We start from the raw sequence: 22708 nt of genomic DNA on the forward strand, positions 1-22708 counted from the left end.
CTGATACTCTGTACTGAAGTAGAAGTAATTCCGTATATCCATCACTGCATTCTCAGGATATAAATGACAAATAAAAACACCCTATAAGCTGTACAACAGTAGAGAGCATTGTGAGTTTGAAGAAATGATGGAAATCTAGTAGGATTGGAAACAAGGGAGTGGTTAGAGATGAAGTCTGCAATGTGGGCCCTTTAAAGCACAGTTGGAAATTTGAACATTTTTCTAGGAAAAGTAATAGAATGATTTTAAGCAAAGGAGTGACATGATAAGATTTAGATTTTAGAAAGATCTCCCTGTTTGTAGTGAATATGAGACAGGAAAGAGTGGATAGGCAAGCCAATTAAGTAGATTTAGCTGTATTCATGGGGAAATCATGGTAGCGTGAACTAAGGAGGTGGCAGTAGAAGCAAAGGGAAGTGGACTGTTTTGGAGATTTTTTTAAGCTAGAACTATAGGATGTGAAGACTTGTTGTGGGGAATGCAGAAGTTGGAACCCAGGATGCTTCCCAAATTTCTGGCCGGGTATCTGGTGGATAGTGGTAACAGAAATTACGATCACTGAACAATGGGGAAGAGCTGGTGAGTTTCGTTTGGGACATGCTGAATGTGAAGTGCCTATGAGACTTCCAGTGGGAACTTTGAGGAGAGGGCGATACATTTAGAAATGCACTGGGAATGCCAGTGCTTTGGGAGGCCAAGGCAGGCGGATCACCTGAGGTCAGGAGTTCAAGACCAGCCTGTCCAACATGGTGAAACCCCATCTCTACTAAAAATATTAAAAATTAGCTGGGCGTGGTGGTGGGCACCTATAATCCCAGCTACTAGGGAGGCTGAGGCAGGAGAATCACTTGAACCCAGGAGGCGGAGGTTGCAGTAAGCCGAAATGGCACCATTGCACTCCAGCCTGGGCGAGAAAAGCGAAACTCTGCCAAAAAAAAAAAAAAAAAAAATAGAAAGAAAGAAAGAAATGCACTGGGAAGCTATTGGCTTAGAGTTGGAAAATGGAGCCATTGGTTTGGAAGAGATTACTTGGCGAGAAGGTACAGAGTGAGACCAGTAGAGTCCTAGCATACTCCCCTGAGGAACTAGTAAATGTTGGGGGAGAAATTTCAATTTTCCTTTTCTAAATAAAATCCCAAATTCTCTCCATTATTCTATGCTGATTTGGTCGATAAAGAGGCTAAGAGAGGAGGATGGTGCGTAGTATTTAAGTGGCTCAACTAAAATGCTGCCTTTGGTAATGCATTCTGTGTAATGGTATTTTTAAGGTTTTCATGTGATACTGTTTCATATGCATTTCTGAGTATGGATGTAAACTATTTTAATGAAACAGATGCATTCAGGCCCTTGCATATTCTTTTTTCTTGTTGAAGAGGAAGGTTGTGGGACTTGATGATGTAGCAACAGTGAATTAATGGTAAAAGGAGAAAGAAAGTGAGGTGGTGGTATTATGAGAGAATACCACATACCACACAGGCTCAAGGAAGGGTTGTTTTCCCCAGTATGATATGATAGTAGTGGGGGCTGAAGAAGAGAACTGAACTATTTAGCTAATAGAACTAGTTGAAACAAGTGGCACCCTGGATCTGGATTTGAATTCTGGCTCTGCCACTATCTGTGTAAGCTTAATCAAGCTATTGACTCTCTCCAAGATTTGTTTCTAAATCTGCATATAGGGATAATAATTCCTAACTCATAGAATTATTATTAATATTTTATAGCTCTTTGAGCAGTTTTAATCATGGAAAATTAATGGTGTTTTCAAGCTCCCCTCTCAAAAAAATTTGCAAATAAAAGTGAATTTAAACCATATAACATAAAACTTACATATCTGCTGAAATTAGAATAACATTTGCGAGATTTTCTGATTGCAAAATTCTGTAAGAGTTTATCTGAGTTAAACTTTTTTAAATGTGCCCTATTTATGTTGTTATCTGTCTGCCTGTATTGAGGTCCCCAGTGCTATGCTAAAGGTCTTTGTCCATGCCCCTGACCTATTCAGAATTTTTGATTCATTACTTGGATGAAAACACAGGAAATTGCTTATCAGATATGTACGTGGTACAGAACTGAAAGGACAGCTGCAACAGAGAGCTGCCTGCATTAAGATTACAAGTAGAGCCAATGAAGAGAAACTGTACTGTGATAAATTAAAAACTAGAGTGAAAGAGACATCATCTGATGGAAGTTAATGTAAATTACTCAAAATTATAATTTAACATAAACTCAGCAGCAATTGAATATGTGACCAGAATGCTTAACAATAACAACTACTGTAACTACAAAAACAACACACACCTAGGTTGCGTTGATAGCAGTATGGAAGCAGACATGTTTACGTTGTAATTTACAAAATTCAGACTATTTTGGGACATAGCAACCACTCTCATGGGTCGTGTTTCAGCAGGAACATTAATTATCCAATGAGAAGTTGGAAAACAACCCCCTAAGAAACTTTGAGGCAGCTGGACATAACTAACCTGGAAAGAATTTAGGTAAATGTGATGGCTGTCTACAAATACCGGAAGGGCTACTGCAGGAAAGGGTGGACTATGTAGCTCCATTTGGCACAACTCAGAGCAAATGGGTCAAAAATTAGGGAAGGAAATTTTTGATTCAGGTTAAGAGTGTTCATAGCAATAAAACTGTCAAAGTTGAAGAGGCTTTTCTAAAAGTAGAGTAAATTCAATCACTGAAATATATGGAGAGGGAAATGACCAACTTTCAAACATGTTTTAGATGGATTTTCTGCTTTCAGGGGCATTAGACAAAATCATATATAAGATTTCACCCAAGTTAATGAAGATTGGTATATTCTACATCTCTTCTTTGAGTTAGGTAAATATGATTGTGCCTGATTCACATTTAGTAGACCAATTAGATTCTGGATGGCTAATGGCTTAGGAAAGCTATTTAAAGTACCAGTGAAGTTTAATGTATTTCAGATGGTACACCACACATTTTTCATGGTTTGTGATTTGACCACAAGGGAAAAAGTCAGTCAGTTCTGAATTCTAGTTAGGTTACTTTTAATGAATTATTTTATGATCAGAGGTTGCACTTCACCAACCTACATATTCCCATTTATAAAACAGTGACTGCTGAAATCTTTTTTTTTCTAAAATCCGTTTTAAAAACATTATGTAGAAGGTTAGACTATTATTAGTTCAATCCTATTAGTTGAATTAGGTTGAATAAAATTGAGAGAAGTTTTTACTTTAATGATTCTACTTCATTTTTTTAGTAATATAGGAGCGAATATGATACTACATATGTCTGTGCATAGCTTATAATGACAATAAATTAATCATTAATTTGTAATTACTGAGTTAAGCATGTCAGAATTGTTAACGTTTATTTTTATCTGCGTATCTTCAGTCTTAGAATAAATACATTGAAATGACTTTATCTTGAAAATTATTTTACTTTTATATCCTATACTTTTAGTGCCATATAATAAAGTTAGATTATATTTTAGAGTAGCTTAGGGAAAATTTTATTGGTAAACAAGTTACATAACCTCTCTGAGCCTTGATTTTCTTATTTGAAAACTCAAGTTGTAATAACAGTACCTCTCTTTACAGACTGTGAAAAGACAAAATGAATTAATGTATAGAATGAACTTGAAATGGTGTCTGGGACAGAATGCATACTCTGTACATATTTACCCATATTATTTGTTAAGATAATATGTTGTGGCTAAAATTTCATAGATTTGAAAACATCTTGAATACTCTGCTATTCCAATATAAATTTATACCTTCTTTTTAACCAAAGAAGATCATCTTCATGTAGTGGAAAGAGGTCCGACTTTGAGTGAGGTGGACACTAACTAGCTGCAAAGCCTTAGCAAGCTGGAGAACCTTTAACTCCTTATTAAAGTAGATGCATGGCTCATAACAGGCTCCATAAATAGCAGCCTTGCCTCTGTTTCTTCAGGCTTCCCTTTTCTTTGACAGAGAAGTCACACAGTGCAAAGCGAGGATGTATTAACAAATTATTTTGCTTATTTTTTAAAAGGAAACAATTCATAAATTCCTTTCTTGGCCATAGATATTGAATTATCCATCTGTTTGCTCTTCATGTAAGATCACTCCTTGAAACTATTGAAATCATTTCTCCCTTAAGAAGGCAGGGTTGGGGCAGTTCCAAGATGGCCAAATAGGAATAGCTCCAGTCTACAGCTCCTAGCGTGAGCAACACAGAAGACGGGTGATTTCTGCATTTCCAACTGAGGTACTGGGTTCATCTCACGGGGCCTGATCGGACAGTGGAGGCAGGACAGTGGGTGCAACCCACCGAGCGTGAGCCGAAGCAGGGCGAGGCATCGCCTCACCAGGGAAGTGCAAGCGATCAGGGAATTCCCTTTCCTAGCCAAGGGAAGGGGTGACGGACAGTACCTGGAAAATCGGATCACTCCCACCCTAATACTGCGCTTTTCCAATGGTCTTAGCAAATGGCACAACAGGAGATTATATCCCGTGCCTGGCTCGGAGGGTCCCACGCCCACGGAGCCTCACTCATTGCTAGCACAGCAGTCTGAGATCGAAGTGCAAGGCAGCAGCGAGGCTGGGGGAGGGGTGCCCACCATGGCTGAGGTTTGAGTAGGTAAACAAAGCAGCAGGGAAGCTCGTACTGGGTGGAGCCCACTGCAGCTCAAGGAGGCCTGCCTGCCTCTGCAGACTCCACCTCTGGGGGCAGGGCATAGCCAAACAAAAGGCAGCAGAAACCTCTGCAGACTTAAGTGTCCCTGTCTGACAGTTTTGAAGAGAGTAGTGGTTCTCCCAGCACAGAGTTTGAGATCTGAGAATGGACAGACTGCCTCCTCAAGTGGGTCTCTGACCCCCAAGTAGCCTAACTGGGAGGCATCCCCCAGTAGGGGCAGACTGACACCTCACATGGCCGGGTACCCCTGAGACAAAGCTTCCAGAGGAACGATGAGGCAGCAACATTTGCTGTTCAGCAGCCTCTGCTGCTGATACCCAGGCAAACAGGGTCTGGAGTGGACCTCCAGCAAACTCCAGCAGACCTGCAGCTGAGGGTCCTGACTGTTAGAAGGAAAACTGACAAATAGAAAGGACATCCACATCAAAACCCCATCTGTACGTCACCATCATCAAAGACCAAAGGTAGATAAAACCACAAAGATGGGGAAAAAACACAGCAGAAAAGCTGAAAATTCTAAAAGTCAGAGCACCTCTCCCCCTCCAAAGGAGCACAGCTCCTCACCAGCAACAGAACAAAGCTAGACGGAGAATGACTTTGACAAGTTGAGAGAAGAAGGCATGAGATGATCAAACTTCTCTGAGCTAAAGGAGGAAGTTTGAACCCATCGCAAAGAAGCTAAAAACCTTGAAAAAAGATTTGACAAATGGCTAGCTACAATAACCAGTGTAGAGAAGTCCTTAAATGACCTGATGGAGCTGAAAACCATGGCACAAGAACTACGTGATGAATGCACAAGCCTCCGTAGCCGATTTGATCAACTGGAAGAAAGGGTATCAGTGATGGAAGATGAAATGAATGAAATGAAGCAAGAAGAGAAGTTTAGAGAAAAAGAGTAAAAAGAAACAAAGACTCCAAGAAACATGGGACTATGTGAAAAGACCAAATCTACGTCTGATTGGTGTACCTGAAAGTGATGGGGAGAATGGAACCAAGTTGGAAAACACTTTGCAGGATATTATCCAGGAGGACTTCCCCAACTTAGCAAGGCAGGCCAACATTCAAATTCAGGAAATACAGAGAATGCCACAAAGATATTCCTCGAGAAAAGCAACTCGAAGACACATAATTGTCAGATTCACCAAAGATGAGATGAAGGAAAAAATGTTAAGGGGCAGCCAGAGAGAAAGGTTGGGTTACCCACAAAGGGAAGCCCATCAGACTAACAGCAGATCTCTCCGCAGAAACTCTACAAGCCAGAAGAGAGTGGGGACCAATATTCAACATTCTTAAAGAAAAGAATTTTCAACCCAGAATTTCATATCCAGCCAAACTAAGCTTTGTAAGTGAAGGAGAAATAAAATCCTTTACAGACAAGCAAATGCTGAGAGATTTCGTCACCACGAGGCCTGCCCTACAAGGGGTCCTGAAGGAAGCACTAAACATGGAAAGGAACAACTGGTACCAGCCACTGCAAAAACATGACAAATTGTAAAGACCATCGATGCTAGGAAGAAACTGCATCAACTAACAAGAAAAATAATCAGCTAACATCATAATGACAGGATCAGATTCACACATAACAATATTAACCTTAAATGTAAATGGGCTAAATGCTCCAATTAAAAGACACAGACTGGCAAATTGGATAAAGACTCAAGACCCATCAGTGTGCTGTATTCAGGAGACCCATCTCATGGGCAGAGACACACATAGGCTAAAAATAAAGGGATGGAGGAAAATCTACCAAGCAAATGGAAAACAAAAAAAGGCAGAGGTTGCCATCCTAGTCTCTGATAAAACAGACTTTAGACCAATAAAGCTCAAAAGAGACAAAGAAGGCCATTACATAATGGTAAAGGGATCAATTCAACAAGAAGAGCTGACTATCCTAAATATATATGCACCGAATACAGGAGCACCCAGATTCATAAAGCAAGTCCTTAGAGACCTACAAAGAGACTTAGACTGCCACACAATAATAATGGGAGACTTTAACACCCCACTGTCAACATTAGACAGATCAATGAGACAGAAAGTTAACAAGGATATCCAGGAATTGAACTCAGCTCTGCACCAAGCGGATCTAATAGACATCTACAGAACTCTCCACCCCAAATCAACAGATTATACATTCTTCTCAGCACCACATCGCACTTATTCCAAAATTGACCACATAGTTGGAAGTAAAGCACTCCTCAGCAAATGTAAAAGAACAGAAATTATAATAAACTGTCTCTCAGACCACAGTGCAATCAAACTAGAACTCAGGATTAAGAAACTCACTCAAAAGCGCTCAACTACATGGAAACTGAACAACCTGCTCCTGAATGACTACTGGGTAAATAACGAAGTGAAGGCAGAAATAAAGATGTTCTTTGAAACCAACGAGAACAAAGACACAACATACCAGAATCTCTGGGACACATTCAAAGCAGTGTGTAGAGGGAAATTTATAGCACTAAATGCCCACAAGAGAAAGCAGGAACGATCTAAAATTGACACGCTAACATCACAATTAAAGAACTAGAGAAGCAAGAGCAAACACATTCAAAAGCTAGCAGAAGACAAGAAATAACTAAGATCAGAGCAGAAATGAAGGAGATAGAGACACAAAAAACCCTACAAAAAATCAATGAATCCAAGAGCTGGTTTTTTGAAAAGATCAACAAAACTGATAGACCACTAGCAAGACTAATAAAGAAGAAAAGAGAGAAGAATCAAATAGATGCAATAAAAATTAATAAAGGGGATATCACCACCGATCCCACAGAAATACAGACTACCATCAGAGAATACTATAAACACCTCTATGCAAATAAACTAGAAAATCTGGAAGAAATGGATAAATTCCTGGACACATACCCCCTCCCAAGACTAAACTAGGAAGAAGTTGAATCCCTGAATAGACCAATAACAGGCTCTGAAATTGAGGCAATAATTAATAGCCTACCAACCAAAAAAAGTCCAGGACCAGATGGATTCACAGTCGAATTCTACCAGAGGTACAAGGAGGAGCTGGTACCATTCCTTCTGAAACTATTCCAATCAACAGAAAAAGAGGGAATCCTCCCTAACTCATTTTATGAGGCCAGCATCATCCTGACACCAAAGCCTGGCAGAGACACAGCAAAAAAAGACAATTTTAGACCAATATCCCTGATGAACATTGATGCAAAAATCCTCAATAAAATACTGACAAACCGAATCCAGCAGCACATTAAAAGCTTATCCACCATGATCAAGTGGACTTCATCCCTGGGATGCAAGGCTGGTTCAACATATGCAAATCAGTAAACGTAATCCAGCATATAAACAGAACCAAAGACAAAAACCACATGATTATCTCAACAGATGCAGAAAAGGCCTTTGACAAAATTCAACAATTCTTCATGCTAAAAACTCTCAATAAGTTAGGTATTGATGGGATGTATCTCAAAATAATAAGAGCTCTTTATGACAAACCTACAACCAATATCATACTGAATGGGCAAAAACTGGAAGCATTCCCTTTGAAAAGTGGCACAAGACAGGGATGCCCTCTCTCACCACTCCTATTCAACATAGTGTTGGAAGTTCTGGCCAGGGCAGTCAGGCAGAAGAAAGAAAGAAAGGGTATTCAATTAGGAAAAGAGGAAGTCAAATTGTCCCTGTTTGCAGATGACATGATTGTCTATTTAGAAAACTGCATTGTCTCAGCCCAAAATCTCAAGCTGATAAGCAACTTCAGCAAAGTCTCAGGATAGAAAATCAGTGTGCAAAAATCACAAGCATTCTTATACACCAATAACAGACAAACAGAGAGCCAAATCATGAGTGAACTCCCATTCACAATTGCTTCAAAGAGAATAAAATACCTAGGAATCCAACTTACAAGGGACGTGAAGGACCTCTTCAAGGAGAACTACAAACCACTGCTCAATGAAATAAAAGAGGACACAAAGAAATGGAAGAACATTCCATGCTCATGGATAGGAAGAATCAATATTGTAAAAATGGCCATACTGCCCAAGGTAATTTATAGATTCAATGCCATCCCCATCAAGCTACCAATGACTTTCTTCACAGAATTGGAAAAAACTACTTTAAAGTTCATATGGAACCACGAAAGAGCCTGCACTGCCAAGACAATCTTAAGCCAAAAGAACAAAGCTAGAGGCATCACACTACCTGACTTCAAACTATAGTACAAGGCTACATTAACCAAAACAGCATGGTACTGGTACCAAAACAGAGATATAGACCAATGGAACAGAACAGAGCCCTCAGAAATAATACCACACGTCTACAACCATCTGATCTTTGACAAACCTGAGAAAAACAAGCAATAGGGAAAGGATTCCCTATTTAATAAATGGTGCTGGGAAAACTGGCTAGCCATATGTAGAAAGCTGAAACTGGATCCCTTCCTTACACCTTATACAAAAAGTAATTCAAGATGGATTAAAGACTTAAATATTAGACCTAAAACCATAAAAACCCTAGAAGAAAACCTAGGCAATACCATTCAGGACATAAGTATGGGCAAGGACTTCATGTCTAAAACACCAAAAGCAATGGCAACCAAAGCCGAAATTGACAAATGGGATCTAATTAAACTAAAGAGCTTCTGCACAGCAAAAGAAACTACCATCAGAGTGAACAGGCAACCTACAGAATGGTAGAAAAGTTTTGCAACCTACTCATCTGACAAAGGGCTAATATCCAGAATCTACAAAGCACTCAAACAAATTTACAAGAAAAAAACAAACAACCCCATCACAAAGTGGGCGAAGGATATGAACAGACACTTCTCAAAATAAGACATTTATGCAGCCAACAGACACATGAAGAAATGCTCATAATCACTGGCTATCAGAGAAATGGAAATCAAAACCACAATGAGATACCATCTCACACCAGTTAGAATGGTGATCATTAAGAAGTCAGGAAACAACAGGTGCTGGAGAGGATGTCGAGAAATAGGAACACTTTTACACTGTTGGTGGGACTGTAAATTAGTTCAACCATTGTGGAAGACAGTGTGGCGATTCCTCAAGGATCTAGAACTAGAAATACCATTTGACCCAGCCATCCCGTTACTGGGTATATACCCAAAGGATTATAAATCATGCTGCTATAAAGACACATGCACGTGTATGTTTATTGTGGCACTATTCACAATAGCAAAGACTTGGAACTCACCCAAATGTCCATCAGTGATAGACTGGATTAAGAAAATGTGGCACATATACACCATGGAATACCATGCAGCCATAAAAAAGGATGCGTTCATGTCCTTTTTAGGGACATGGATGAAGCTGGAGGAACCATCATTCTCAGCAAACTGTCACAAGGATGAAAAACCAAACACCGCATGTTCTCACTCATAGGTAGGAATTGAACAATGAGAACACTTGGACACAGCAAGGGGAACATCACACACCGGGGCCTGTCCTGGGGTCGAGGGAGGGGTTAGGGAAAGCATTAGGAGATATACCTAATGTAAATGACGAGTTAATGGGTGCAGCACACCAAGATGGCACATGTATACATAGGTAACAAACCTGCACATTGTGCACATGTACCCTAGAACTTAAAAGTATAATAATAAAAAAAAAATAATAAGGCAGGGTTATATCTACTTTAAGAAAAATTGACAGTAAGAATTTAAAATCTTGCAGTATCTTTACTCTGTTTTGCTAGTTCTGTTTTTCCTTCTTCTGTTCTGATTTGGTTTCATTTTAGAGATAGCATATACTAATGGTACAAAACATAATCGAATACTAAATAAAAAGTACATCTTTTTCTCACTATTTCTTGCATTCTCCATTCTTTGCTCTACCCTCAATGCCAATTCCTGAAAGTAAACACTACTGTTTTCCTGTGTATCTCTCCATCAATATTCCATGCATAGACAAATATTTATAAATATTTAAATAAGCAGACATGTGTTCTTGTGTGTGAGTGTGTATATATATATATATATACACAATGTACATATATTTATATATAGTGTATATATGTTTACGTGTATCTGTATGTGTGTGTATATGTGTGTGTGTGTGTGTGTGTGTGTATATATATATATATATATATATATATGTATATGTATATATGGACATCTTTAAGTTTACCATGCATGGGTATACCTTTTTCCTATGCTATAATATGATTATTACATAAGTTATTTTTCTGGCTTCCAGTTGATGAAATTACATTATTTTTTGGGTATTGTGTTACTTTTTGCTATAGTAAACAATGTGTCCTTGAACACCCTTGCACTCTGAATATTTGTTTACTTGAGCCATATCCATAGAATAAATTCCTAGGAATTATGCCTTTGCTATTCATGTCTACATGAAACATGCTCTCAGTTGGATTTCCAAAGCATGAGGTAAATAAATTGCAAGTAAATTATTTGAGATATTCATATATGATATAGGTAAGCAGACAAATGATTTTTGCCTGTATATTCATTTGGCCGAATTTTATGATCACTTCCTGTCACCAAGTTAAATGATTGTATAGCAGTCTGCATCAGTTATGAAAGATATACAACCCTTGCATTGTTTTTGCAGTCTGCTCATCTCATGCCTAGAGTCACAGCTTAATTTGAAATATAATCTTTTCTTTTGAAACTACAGCTTAATTGAAGAACACATTTTTAAAATGGTAGAATAAGGTTAGAAATTATTTTACAGTTGTACTTGAGCATTCACATCTTGTGCGTTATTTTCTCAATATAACCAGGCTATGAACAAGCAAATGTGCGTGTTATTTATTCCTTGGTAGAAAGGCTACTTAGTGCCAGAGCATAGCAAAACAGGAAGGAAAATGCTAAAATTAGCCTTGTTTCTCGTTCATCGTTGATTTAATTTTGGGGGACATCAAAGGTATTAAGGACAACAGACTGGGAATTATCAAGATAAAAATGACATACCCAGAAAATACTGAATTCTCCAGTCCTCAAAAAGTCTTGCAATTTATTTCATGCAATAAATGTTAAGAAAGAGGGAGGAGAACTGGGGCAAGGACGAGGGATAACATTTCTTAGACTCCCATCTGAAATGAATGATTAAGGGCATATGGAATAGACAGAATTAATAGCATCTGTGATCTGTAACTAAACTTGTTGCTATAGTCAGTTTGAGGATTCTGGTGACACAGTTAATAATCAACTATTAAACAACAGTCAGGATACCAATCTTTATTTCATATACCATGAAAATTATGGAGTTCAAATAGCCTATTTTTAACTTTAAAAGGCATTTCTCCTTTATATTTTACTCATATGCTAATATGCATTATATGAAGATATATGAATAAGCGAATGAATGTGTGTTTATGGAACATATGAAATCATAACTATGGCCTATGACAATCAAAACACTTAACAAGATATGTCTTCAATTTTTCTATCTGGATATTGGGAAAAATAGTAGGGAAAATGTTATTGTAAAAATAAATAGATAGGTTTGTGTAGGAATGTAAGTAAATATGCTTATAGACACAGTCTTTTAGTTTACTGCTATCTATATTTGACCTAAATTATATCTGGGTATTTCAGTTGGTTGCTTGCATTTAACACAGAATCAGTTTAAATTCCAATAGCCTGAATTACTAATTCTGAAAAGTATACTTCTCCCATCCTCCGTTTCCTCCGGTGTAAACAGAACATAGTAAAACCTAGGGGGAAAGTCTTGATTAAATGATATATAACTTTATGTTTGGCCTACGTTTATTAATCAATGAATAAATATTTGTTTTGACTGGGCACGGTAGCTCAAGCCTGTAATCCAAGCACTTTGGGAGGCCGAGGTGGGGGGATCATGAGGTCAGGAGATCGAGACCATCCTGGCTAACACAGTGAAACCCCGTCTCTACTAAAACACAAAAAATTAGCCAGGCATGGTGGCAGGCGCCTGTAGTCCCAGCTACTAGGGAGGCTGAGGCAGGAGAATGGCGTGAACCCGGGAGGCGGAGCTTGCAGTGAGCCGAGATCGCGCCACTACACTCCAGACTGGGGGACAGAGCGAGACTTCATCTCAAAATAAATAAATAAATAAATAAATAAATATTTGTTTCATTCTTCCCCTCTTAAACTATTACCTTCAACGTTTTTCACTTTTCACCAGTTAACTTCTGTCCTTCATTGGGAGTTCAGCCAAATCGATTAAAATTATGGAGTCTTCTAAAATTCTTTCTGGAGGAGATGGTTAATGGGCGCAAAAATATAGTTAGGATGAATAAGATCTAGTATTTGATAGCACAACAGGGTGATTGTGCTCAACAAAAATTTACTGTATATTTTAAAATAATGAAAAGAGTGGAATAGAATGTTCCTAATGCAAAGAAATAATAACTGGTTGAGGTGATGGATACCCCAATTACCCTGATTTGATTATTACAGATTGTATGCCTGTATCAAAACATCACACTTACCCCATAAATATATACCTATTGTGTACCCATTTTAATTAAAAATTTAAACACATTTAAATAAAATTATTTTTAACAAGGTGGCATATATATGTATATAAACAAACTCAAAACTAAACCAAATAAATTGTAAAATTATTGTTAAAGTCAATAAAATGTTTTAAATGCTCAAAACAAATTGTGTACATCTTCATTTATTTCATATTTCTCAATTAAAATTATATGCAAAGCATTTTAATAGGTACTACAAGGTAAAGAAAAATTAATCCATAGTTCACAATTGTTTTGGGTATTATATTCTGATAAGCCTTTGTAAGTTTTCCTTAAGACTTAGGAAAAAAATGAAGATACAGAACAAATTATCTTTTTACTTCTACAAGTAAAACATATCTCCACTGGCATTTAAAGTGAGTGGTGAAAAAAAATGAGAACAGGAAGTTCTCATGTAAATAATAATATTGTCAATATTTGTGTCAATTTCTTTTTTTTTTTTTCTTTTTGAGATGGGGTCTTGTTCTGTCACTGCAGCTGGAGTGCAGTGGCGCAGTCTCGGCTCACTGCAACCTCCGCCTCCCTGGCTCAAGCAATCCTCCGCCTTATCCTCCTGAGTAGCTGGGACTACAGGCATGTAATCATCATGCCTGGCTAATTGTTTGTATTTTTTGTAAAGACGGGGTTTCCCTATGTTGCCCAGGCTGATCTGGAACTCCTGGGATTAAGCAGTCTTCCCACCTTGGCCTCCCAAAGTACTGGGATTGCAGATGTGAGCTACCGTGCCCAGCCTATTTGTGTCAATTTATATGGAAATAAATCTTAAATATAATCAGCCTTTACAAGGCAGTTTGGAGTATGTTGCACTCCCAGTTCTATAGCTAACCAGAAGATGAAAAAGCTATGCTGTTCTTTCATTGCCTCAGTTTCCTTATAAGAGGGCATGGTAAGATGACTTGTAAGATCTGTGTTGCTGCTAAAAAAACATAGTCTGCATACATCCATGCCATTAGTGTTTTTACTTAAAGAATTGTCATTTCTGCAATAATCAATCACAGTGTTAGGAAATTATGAATAACTAAAAATGTAACCTCTCCTTTTACCACAGAAGGAAATTAAAACCCAGAGAAGCCAAGTGAAATTGGCCAAAAAGCAGTTTATCCATTGCAGAACCATGTCAAAGACCCAAATCAAGTTACTAATAATCATGTCCTTTTGAATTTTGTAGATTTTTAAAAAATATATAACATCTATATAACTTATTATTCACCTGGACCTTTACTTCTGGATGAGTCCTTTGCAAATCTTCCTTTTCCGTATTTGTATAGATTGTGTTTGTAATAGGAAATTTTCAAAAATAGCATTACATAGTTTTCTTTACATTTATTAAAATGGGCTTTCAATTAGGTACTCCCAAGTACAGTTACCTAGGTGATCATGATATGCTGGTAATTGTGAGAAGTGTGAGAATTCAAGAGTACATCATCTTTCCTGATAAGCAACAATGAAAATAAGAAGATGGTAGCTCTAATATACTAATGTTTAGAGTTATTAAAGATGAGACTATTTAGTAACATCACTGATTTTTAAGCTAAAAAAATTTTCATTTAATTGTCTCTTTCCAACTGACAAATTTGGTGGTTTATAATGCTGAAAATATTTTGGAATTTTTTTGGACTTGTCTTCAGAGACTATATCGTATCTGTTTAAATGACCTTAATGCTAGGAAACTTTGTATTCGGAGTGTGTATGAAATGTAGAAACAGTCAAGTAGGATGAATTTAGTTGGTTAACTTTGGGCATAATAACATTTCGGCTAAAAATGACATGACTACATTGTGAGGGTGGGTGGTCTTAAGATAGTTTATAAGATCCTTCTAACAACATTTTAAAAGCTTAGAAACAGAAGTGTAAATAGAGACCTACATATTGAATATTTTAGTACAGTCTTTAGCAGAAAACGTGTAAGATAAACAGTGAACAGTAAGCTATGTTTAGTTAGCATGAAGCATATTTAGGTGAGCGACACCCTTTGACTTGCGTTCTGTTAGTTCCACATTGGATAAACGCATAGTCAATCAGGCACACAGATCACATTTGCTATATATCTGTTAACATTAAATTATTGTGCAAATATAATGATCTGTTAATACTCTTAAGTTAGATTATGAAGGAAGAACAGTGATTTCAAGGAAAGGAATACAACAGGTCCTCAAGTAATATCATTTCATTCAATATCGTTTTATTGTAACATTGATGAGAAAATAAATAAATTGCTAGCCTTGGTTACTCTCTGTGAGATGTGAACCCTGAAAATTTGAGACAGGTCTCAGTTAATTTAGAAAGTTTATTTTGCCAAGGTTTAGGACACACGCCCATGATACAGCCTCAGGAGGTCCTGATAACATGTACCCAAAGTGGTCAGAGCACAGTTTGGTTTTATACATTTTAGGGAGACATGAGACATCAATCAACATATGGAAGGTGAACATTGGTTCAGTCTGGAAAGGCAGGACAACCCAAAGCAGAAGTGGGAAGACTCAAAGTGGGGAGTGGGCTTCCAGGTCATAGGTAGAGAAGATACATTTTTTGAGGCATTATTTTGAGTTTCTGATTAGCTTCTCCAAACGAAGCAATCAGATACGCATTTATCTCAGTGAGCAGAGGGGTAACTTTGAATAGAATGGGAGGCAGGTTGGCCCTAAGCAGTCGCAGCTTGACTTTTCCCTTTAGCTTAGTGATTTGGGGGCCCCAAGATTTATTTTCTTTTCACAGTGGAGTTTGCATGTTCTCCCCATGTTTGCATGGGTTTTCTCTAGTACTTGGGTTTCCTCCCACATCCTAAAGCTGTGCACGTTGGCTTAATTGGTATGTCTAGATGTTCCCGCTCTGCATGTGCATGGGTGTGTATGTGTGAGTGCACCCTGTGATGGGATGACATCCTGTCCAGGGCTGGTTCCTGCCTTGTGCCCTGAGCTGCCAGAATGGGCTCTGGTCATCCTTGACCCTGAACTGGAATAAGCAGGTTATAAAATGAATGAATAAGTGAATACAAATTATTGTAAAATAAAAATTTATAAAGTATATGAAGAAAGTAAATCATGTAAATGCAGGACAATAAACAATGCTGTACAGAAGTGCACAGGGAGCCTGCCATGTTTGTGATTGTTTTTGACATGCCTAGTGGTAGAAGGTGCTCCTGACAATTTTCACTGTGCAAACATTGATTCCTTGATTTAACCCACCATCATGACAACCAGTGGCACTCATTGATTCACCAAAACCTGGATAAATTACTTACTTGAGAGGCTGAGGTGTCAGGATTGCTTGAGCCCAGGACTTCAAGGCTGCAGTGAGCTATGATCATGCGACTGCACTCCAGCCTGGGTGACAGAGCAAGACCTTGTCTCTAAAAAAAAATTTTGTAAAAATAATCATCTCACTTGTTCTTATCCATCTTTCTTAAAGGTATGTATAGGTCACACTTAATTCATTGTTTAATATGAGAAGTATTTAGGTCTTTATTTAGAAGCTTGGTCATTGTTTTGTGACCAGAAACATGCCATAGGAACTTAACTCTTTTCTGTATCAGTTAATCTATGGTAACGTTGGTTTCATGATACTTTGTTTTGCTTAATTTTGCAGTTTCCAAGAACCTATTGATGGTATTAAGTGAGGACATATTGTATAGTCAAATGCTCCACCATCTTCTTTTGGTTTTTAAAAAAAATGGCAGTAACTAGAGATTTTAACACCACTGCTTTGGGAAAGCAATACATTAATACATCTCATTCAAGTTTTGGGTGGAAGAAGAAAGAAAAACTAAGTTAACTAAGTTGAGCTAATGTAAACAAACATTGAAATTGTAAAGGCATTTTGGATAACTCATTGAACCTAAGAACTGTAACTACAGTTAGACCTCACAGGGACTGTGAGCATTCTTCTCTACTAACACACCTCTGCTTCACTGCCCTCATGGCTACGCCCTTTCTATGTCCACTTACTTCAGTCGACCAGCTTAGACACTCATGGAACATCAAGGAATTCAGTGTAGATGATTGGCTCAGCCGGGCCAGGCTTCTCCCCTGATTAAATCAGCTGTGGCCAGGGGAGCAATGTCAGGGAGTACACAGAGCACACTGAGCGCACTCTGCATGTGGTGGGAGGAGGGTTAGAGAGGCAGGGTTTGGAAAAGGGCTGCTCATGAGCTAGGCATTTGTCCAAAAATGTGCCTACCACACTACATTAAAATAAAATTCAAGTAAAACTTGAAATGAGCTAGTCAACACAAATCTTACGTTTGGCCTATGTAATGTTTCTAAAATAATTAAATGTTGTTCCATTACATTCTAGTATTTCTAGTCCATAGCTTTAAAAATGATATATTATGGGAAATACTTCTCTAGAGTATATTTCAGTGATCATATTCTTTTAAGAAGAAATTTAAATTATTTTTTATTTATAATTGGCAAAAGCTTATGACATTTGAAGCTTGTTTTACTTAATCAAGTATTCAGTAATTCAGCCACTCTGGGCCTTGAGCTCTTTGGGACAGAAGCACTGCATGTATAAATCTAACAATTACATTTGTCTCAGTCTTATCTGAGCCTGTGGTCAAGGCCAGACAGCTGCTGACAGGTTGAGTAATTCTGACTGATGGAACTAATGTCCTTCTGCGTAAAAGCAGACATTTTGAAAATGTCTCAATCTTTATCATGGTGAATCAGCTTAGAGTCATTTAGCAATCTGTACCCTCCTCCTTGACTCTTCCACCTACTGCACCACCGAGTTACGATGTCACATGGATGCACACAAGCATCTATCCAACATAAATAATTAGTACTTTTGTTTAGAAGATGGATTAATCAATGATTCTTGCTTTGTATGAATTTTCATTCTTTAACAGGCAGTATTGATTACCCCAGCAACAACACTTTACACAACCCCGCTTATTTGAGTCCACATCCCTATATTAATTATAGAAAGAAAAAAAAAGTTGGATCTAGTAATTTTTAAAAATGAATTAGAACAAAGTTACATAAGCAACAACTCAAAACATGCTTCATAATTACAGATATAAGCAGATGTACATAGAGATATGGAGTGCTGGCAGGAAATAAAATTCAGAGACACAAATCTCTAAGTAACCAAACATTTTTATCCTTCCCTGGTTTAGCCTAATACTAATCCCTCAAGGCTAATTTGGTACAGATACAATCTTACTCAGAAGCCTCAGTAAATAAAACATCTGAAAGCCTTCCCACAAACATTAGGAATGCTTATTTTTCAAATAGAAAAGTGTTTATCTTTTGTCTTTCACACTGTCTGACCTCTTAATAAGAGATTTAAGAAGAGGCAGTCACATTTTCCAGCATTGACTATGTATGTGCTCAGCACTTTACATGTAACATCTCATTTAATCTTTATAATAACCTTGTTGTATACATGCAACTGAGGCTCTGAAAATGTTGTGACTTGCCCAAGATTATCCACTTAAAGTATAACATTAATGAGTATGAATGAATTATAGACATATAATAATATAGACATAATATATAATTCATTCATACTCACACTCTTTCTACCATACAAAATTGAGAAGGAGGATTTATCCAGGCAATAAGTATTACTGTTTGAAATATGTATGGCATGGCATTCAATATTGTTACTGTACTAAATGATAATTAAATATGAGCATTCCTTATGGAAAGAAGACACTAGAAGACTTAGATCCAAGTTAGGTGTGGGATTTGGAGCCAACATAGCATTTATAGGCCTCAGTTTTCTTACTCTTATTTATTTAATGTGTCCCCTCATCCCCCTTCACTCTACACACTTGTCCCATTTATATGTTTTATCTCAGTAGGAAATAACAGATATAAGATGTGATGTAAATATAATATAAAAGAAATATTGCCCTTAATTATTTGTGTCCCACTTATTTGGAAACTAAGGTTCAAGAAAGTAAATACCACCCCATCTCTTTCACTGCTGTATCCCCAGCACCTACACTGGTCTGTGAAATTTAGTAAGCAATAAATATTTGTCATGTGAATGAACAAAAGGGAGAGAGTATAAATTGGGAAACATGGACCACAAAATGAACACCACTATAGTACTTTCTCTCTGTGCGATCATTTTCTGTTTATTTGTCTACACCTTCCACTGGACACTGAGATCAAGGTTGTCTTCAACGTTATTTCCCCACTAGAACAGTATCTGGCCCTGCCATATGATAGGCCCTCAATAAATAAAAATTGTCAAAAAGCTTGAAAATATAGGGCTTTTTATTTCATTATCACCTGGAAGTTAATGTGGGAAGTAGGTTTGCATATCAGAGTATGTTTCTTCAAAGACACGTTTACAAAACAGTCATAGAAGATTGTAACTGAGAGTAAATCAGAGCAAATTAAGGCAAATAAAAAATACAGCAAATCAACTAAATATTTCCCTGTGTTTCCAGAATTTTGAGGTATCCTGAATTTCTTGGATAAGAATGAAATTGTTATGAAAGAATGAATGTATGAACTAACTTAAAAAAATCAAAACTAATTATTAAGTAGATCCTGGCCTTTTGTTGGTCGGTAACATTGCCTAAGCCAGTAGAGTTTGTGTTCTGTGCCATTAAAGAAGAGCCTGTTCATTTTATGTTGTTTTCTTCCTTAGTCTGTGAATTTCTGGTACGTGCTGGTGATGAATGATGAGCACACAGAGAGGCGATATCTGCTGTTTTTCCTTCTGAGTTGGGGACTACCAGCTTTTGTGGTGATTCTCCTCATAGTTATTTTGAAAGGAATCTATCATCAGAGCATGTCACAGATCTATGGACTCATTCATGGTGACCTGTAAGTACACCCAGGCAACACATTGCCCTAGCTTTCATGTACCTAAGCAGATTTCGTTGCCATAAGAGCTGTGATTGAATAAGTACCAGGAAGATCTTTGCTTTTCTGCCACAGTGTCTGAAGCTCTGCTTACTCTAATTACTCTTTTAAATAGGAAGCTGTGGCCTCTCAAGTTTCTTTGGTAGATGCAGTTTTCTCAAGTGAGTTGGTGTATCAAACAGTTCATGGTAATTTGTACCTTAGCATTTAGTTTATTAGATTGGAGCAAACTAATATTTAGCAAAATCAGGGCACTATGAAATTTTTGATAAAGAATTTGTGAAAACAGTTGGAGTGTGGCACATTCTCTAAGCAGTGTGTTTTTGGTGAGGGTGGGGGATGGCAGCCACCATCACCCATAAGATCCCTGAATACTGAACGACTGCCTCACAGTGAATGGAGAGTGTCTGAAGAAGTGCATAGGAACAAGACAAGATCACCTTGGTCTTAGATATTCTTATTAAAATACCCTTTTAATCTTGAAATCTTAACACTTTTTTATGTACATATGCACATATATATGCATAATATATATATATATATATTATGCATATATATATATATATGTGACTTAATCCTAAATCCGGTATGTTGTAGCTTTGAGGACCACTGAGCCCCTCTTAATAGCTCCACATGTAGGGGGTGGAAAAACACTTTGCAATAATAAAGCTCAACCAATTCTTGGTATAAGGAAGAGAAAAAGTAGAATTCTAAATAAGAAAAAATAGCCTATTCACAATCTTTTGAAGACAGTATTACTTAATTATCTCACAGGTTATTATGAAGATAAAATTAGCTAGTAGACATGAAAAATATTGAAAGTTAAAGTACTATATCAGCAGTCATTTTAATAGAATTATTGCTTATGATCAATTATATACTTAATAAATACTTGTTATTGATGTATACAAATGTATTTCACACATAGGCAATCACAGACACATACCCCATACCACATTCAGATAAAGGAGGCTAGCTATGTAAAACACACCTAAACACACAAACGTACACAAACATGCAAACACAATACACACACTAATATACTATGTATTTTTGTAATTCTGTCTTTTTATTGAAATTCAAAAGACTCCCTAATACTGATTATTTTATATTATAATGTATTTTATGCATATACAAGTCTATATTCCTATAATCTTCTAAAAAGGAACGATGGCATCTTTCAGAATTATATTATGATTTTTTACATTTTACTATCCCTTGCATTAATTTAAATCGTGGACTGCCAGGATTAATTTCAGAAAATTCTACGTCATTCTTTGTGATATGCAAAGTAACCACGAAGCAAGCCGTGGTGGCTAGCAGATCATTCTTTTCATGAGCTCCCTGGCAAGACAGGACTTATTTAATTTTAGCATTACATGTATACCCATCCAGCCTTGCTAAATGGACCCAATGAATGTAATATTAATTAGAAAAAACTATCTTGATCCTTTTAAAAGGATTTTTAAAGGGAGAAATAAACTATGATCAAAGAATGTCCAAATGAGCTTACTCAAAGTATTTGCCTTCTTAAGCTTTTGGTAAATGTTCTCTATGACCAACTAAATTATAATAAGTGAAATGTAAAATATAGTTACTTCTACCTGGTTTTAATCTTAAAGATTTGTTAGACCAGAGGCCGGGCGTGGTAGCTCACGCCTGTAATCCCAGCACTTTGGGAGGCGGAGACAGGCTGATCACAAGGTCAGGAGATCAAGACCATTCTGGTGAAACCCCATCTCTAGTAAAAATACAAGAATTAGCCAGGCGTGGTGGCGCATGCCTGTAGTCTCAGCTACCCGGGAGGCTGCGGCAGGAGAATCACTTGAACCCAGGAGGCGGAAGTTGCAGTGAGCCAAGATCACGCCACTGCACTCCAGCCTGGGTTACAGAACAAGACTCTGACTCAAAAAAAAAAAAAAAAAAAAATTATTAGATCAGCGTGTCTAACCTTTGCATTACAGGTTACTTTTCTCCTTAATTCACAAAGAATATTCCTAAGTCATTCCCATACGAATTTATTCTAGCTTATAAAAATTCTATATCTTACTTCAATTTTAATATAAGGTTATAAACTGATATATTATTTATACTAAAATATTGTATACTTATATCATCATTTTAAAGCATGCCATTTCTCTAGAGGTCATAATAGATTGATGGTTGTATGAACTAATGGCCCATCTGTTGGGCAGTGGTTACTTCATAGTATTTTGCTTGTCTTCTAGGCTCTTCCCTAGAAGAATTTTAAAATTCTTAGCTCATTATGGAAGAGCTAAGAATTTTTAAAAATGCCTCAAGGGGAAAATCTCCAAGTGTCTTGTTCACTTCTTTCTGGAACGTGTTTTCTCAAGTTCTCTTTCCTGCCAGCCCTGAAGTCTAATTTTTGTCTCCTTAGCTCTTTGAGATTGCCAGATAATTCGCTGGCTTTCCTGACTCTCAGCATCTTTCCTCATCCTGGATTTTCAGTCTCCCTTTCTTCTCCAAGTATTAATAGGCGGATACCCTGAAGGGAAAAGTGGTATGCTGAATGTAGCGCTGATTTCAATAAGCTTCTCTTCTTTACAAGATTGGCCTGTCAATGTTGGCTGCCTCAACAGCTTTACAGTGCCTTCAAACAAATGGTTTTGTTTGGTTGATTTTGCTTTAATTTTATTTTGTCTGATTATTCTAGATGGAATTATAAATCATGTACAAGCTATTTCATTATACATAGTTCAGTATTTTAAGATGGATTTTATAGATAG

At 37.2% G+C, this 22708-nt stretch overlaps 1 protein-coding gene across 12 annotated transcripts in view, besides 15 other annotated features; it reads left to right on the forward strand.

Moving 5' to 3' along the window:
* ADGRV1 (adhesion G protein-coupled receptor V1) overlaps positions 1-22708 on the forward strand; it is a 605641-nt gene that overhangs the window by 406804 nt on the left and 176129 nt on the right. For all 12 annotated transcript variants that reach the window (NR_003149.2, XM_017009963.3, XM_017009969.3 and 9 more), the window contains one exon: positions 19744-19922. Coding sequence is in view for 11 of the 12 variants with exons in the window: in XM_017009963.3 (XP_016865452.1) it covers positions 19744-19922 (179 nt within the window). In the remaining variant the exon portion in view is untranslated. The remainder of the gene's footprint in view (positions 1-19743; positions 19923-22708) is intronic.
* Positions 2905-3049: an enhancer, noted in NCBI's record as "145 bp 5:90264394 sequence used in MPRA reporter constructs". NCBI's record gives its function as "activates a minimal TATA-containing promoter with rs6884254 allelic activity by MPRAs in UACC903 melanoma cells {active_cell/tissue: UACC903}" and the evidence as "EXISTENCE:reporter gene assay evidence [ECO:0000049][PMID:36423637]".
* Position 2977: a transcriptional cis regulatory region, noted in NCBI's record as "rs6884254 or 5:90264394 MPRA-significant variant associated with a GWAS melanoma risk locus at 5q14.3". NCBI's record gives its function as "allelic transcriptional activity by MPRAs in UACC903 melanoma cells {active_cell/tissue: UACC903}" and the evidence as "EXISTENCE:reporter gene assay evidence [ECO:0000049][PMID:36423637]".
* Positions 4579-4723: an enhancer, noted in NCBI's record as "145 bp 5:90266068 sequence used in MPRA reporter constructs". NCBI's record gives its function as "activates a minimal TATA-containing promoter with rs10056755 allelic activity by MPRAs in C283T melanocytes and UACC903 melanoma cells {active_cell/tissue: C283T | UACC903}" and the evidence as "EXISTENCE:reporter gene assay evidence [ECO:0000049][PMID:36423637]".
* Position 4651: a transcriptional cis regulatory region, noted in NCBI's record as "rs10056755 or 5:90266068 MPRA-significant variant associated with a GWAS melanoma risk locus at 5q14.3". NCBI's record gives its function as "allelic transcriptional activity by MPRAs in C283T melanocytes and UACC903 melanoma cells {active_cell/tissue: C283T | UACC903}" and the evidence as "EXISTENCE:reporter gene assay evidence [ECO:0000049][PMID:36423637]".
* Positions 7887-8031: an enhancer, noted in NCBI's record as "145 bp 5:90269376 sequence used in MPRA reporter constructs". NCBI's record gives its function as "activates a minimal TATA-containing promoter with rs6452920 allelic activity by MPRAs in C283T melanocytes {active_cell/tissue: C283T}" and the evidence as "EXISTENCE:reporter gene assay evidence [ECO:0000049][PMID:36423637]".
* Position 7959: a transcriptional cis regulatory region, noted in NCBI's record as "rs6452920 or 5:90269376 MPRA-significant variant associated with a GWAS melanoma risk locus at 5q14.3". NCBI's record gives its function as "allelic transcriptional activity by MPRAs in C283T melanocytes {active_cell/tissue: C283T}" and the evidence as "EXISTENCE:reporter gene assay evidence [ECO:0000049][PMID:36423637]".
* Positions 11267-11411: an enhancer, noted in NCBI's record as "145 bp 5:90272756 sequence used in MPRA reporter constructs". NCBI's record gives its function as "activates a minimal TATA-containing promoter with rs6881586 allelic activity by MPRAs in C283T melanocytes {active_cell/tissue: C283T}" and the evidence as "EXISTENCE:reporter gene assay evidence [ECO:0000049][PMID:36423637]".
* Position 11339: a transcriptional cis regulatory region, noted in NCBI's record as "rs6881586 or 5:90272756 MPRA-significant variant associated with a GWAS melanoma risk locus at 5q14.3". NCBI's record gives its function as "allelic transcriptional activity by MPRAs in C283T melanocytes {active_cell/tissue: C283T}" and the evidence as "EXISTENCE:reporter gene assay evidence [ECO:0000049][PMID:36423637]".
* Positions 14809-14953: an enhancer, noted in NCBI's record as "145 bp 5:90276298 sequence used in MPRA reporter constructs". NCBI's record gives its function as "activates a minimal TATA-containing promoter with rs10073898 allelic activity by MPRAs in C283T melanocytes {active_cell/tissue: C283T}" and the evidence as "EXISTENCE:reporter gene assay evidence [ECO:0000049][PMID:36423637]".
* Position 14881: a transcriptional cis regulatory region, noted in NCBI's record as "rs10073898 or 5:90276298 MPRA-significant variant associated with a GWAS melanoma risk locus at 5q14.3". NCBI's record gives its function as "allelic transcriptional activity by MPRAs in C283T melanocytes {active_cell/tissue: C283T}" and the evidence as "EXISTENCE:reporter gene assay evidence [ECO:0000049][PMID:36423637]".
* Positions 16186-16330: an enhancer, noted in NCBI's record as "145 bp 5:90277675 sequence used in MPRA reporter constructs". NCBI's record gives its function as "activates a minimal TATA-containing promoter with rs11742679 allelic activity by MPRAs in UACC903 melanoma cells {active_cell/tissue: UACC903}" and the evidence as "EXISTENCE:reporter gene assay evidence [ECO:0000049][PMID:36423637]".
* Position 16258: a transcriptional cis regulatory region, noted in NCBI's record as "rs11742679 or 5:90277675 MPRA-significant variant associated with a GWAS melanoma risk locus at 5q14.3". NCBI's record gives its function as "allelic transcriptional activity by MPRAs in UACC903 melanoma cells {active_cell/tissue: UACC903}" and the evidence as "EXISTENCE:reporter gene assay evidence [ECO:0000049][PMID:36423637]".
* Positions 16374-16518: an enhancer, noted in NCBI's record as "145 bp 5:90277863 sequence used in MPRA reporter constructs". NCBI's record gives its function as "activates a minimal TATA-containing promoter with rs11742722 allelic activity by MPRAs in UACC903 melanoma cells {active_cell/tissue: UACC903}" and the evidence as "EXISTENCE:reporter gene assay evidence [ECO:0000049][PMID:36423637]".
* Position 16446: a transcriptional cis regulatory region, noted in NCBI's record as "rs11742722 or 5:90277863 MPRA-significant variant associated with a GWAS melanoma risk locus at 5q14.3". NCBI's record gives its function as "allelic transcriptional activity by MPRAs in UACC903 melanoma cells {active_cell/tissue: UACC903}" and the evidence as "EXISTENCE:reporter gene assay evidence [ECO:0000049][PMID:36423637]".
* Positions 17492-17786: a silencer, noted in NCBI's record as "tiled region #3426; HepG2 Repressive DNase matched - State 10:DNaseD, and K562 Repressive non-DNase unmatched - State 8:EnhW". NCBI's record gives its function as "represses a minimal TATA promoter and a strong SV40 promoter by Sharpr-MPRA in HepG2 and K562 cells {active_cell/tissue: HepG2 | K562}" and the evidence as "EXISTENCE:reporter gene assay evidence [ECO:0000049][PMID:27701403]".

The sequence above is a fragment of the Homo sapiens genome, chromosome 5 (assembly GCF_000001405.40).
Source record: "Homo sapiens chromosome 5, GRCh38.p14 Primary Assembly".
Taxonomy (NCBI): Eukaryota; Metazoa; Chordata; class Mammalia; order Primates; family Hominidae; genus Homo; species Homo sapiens.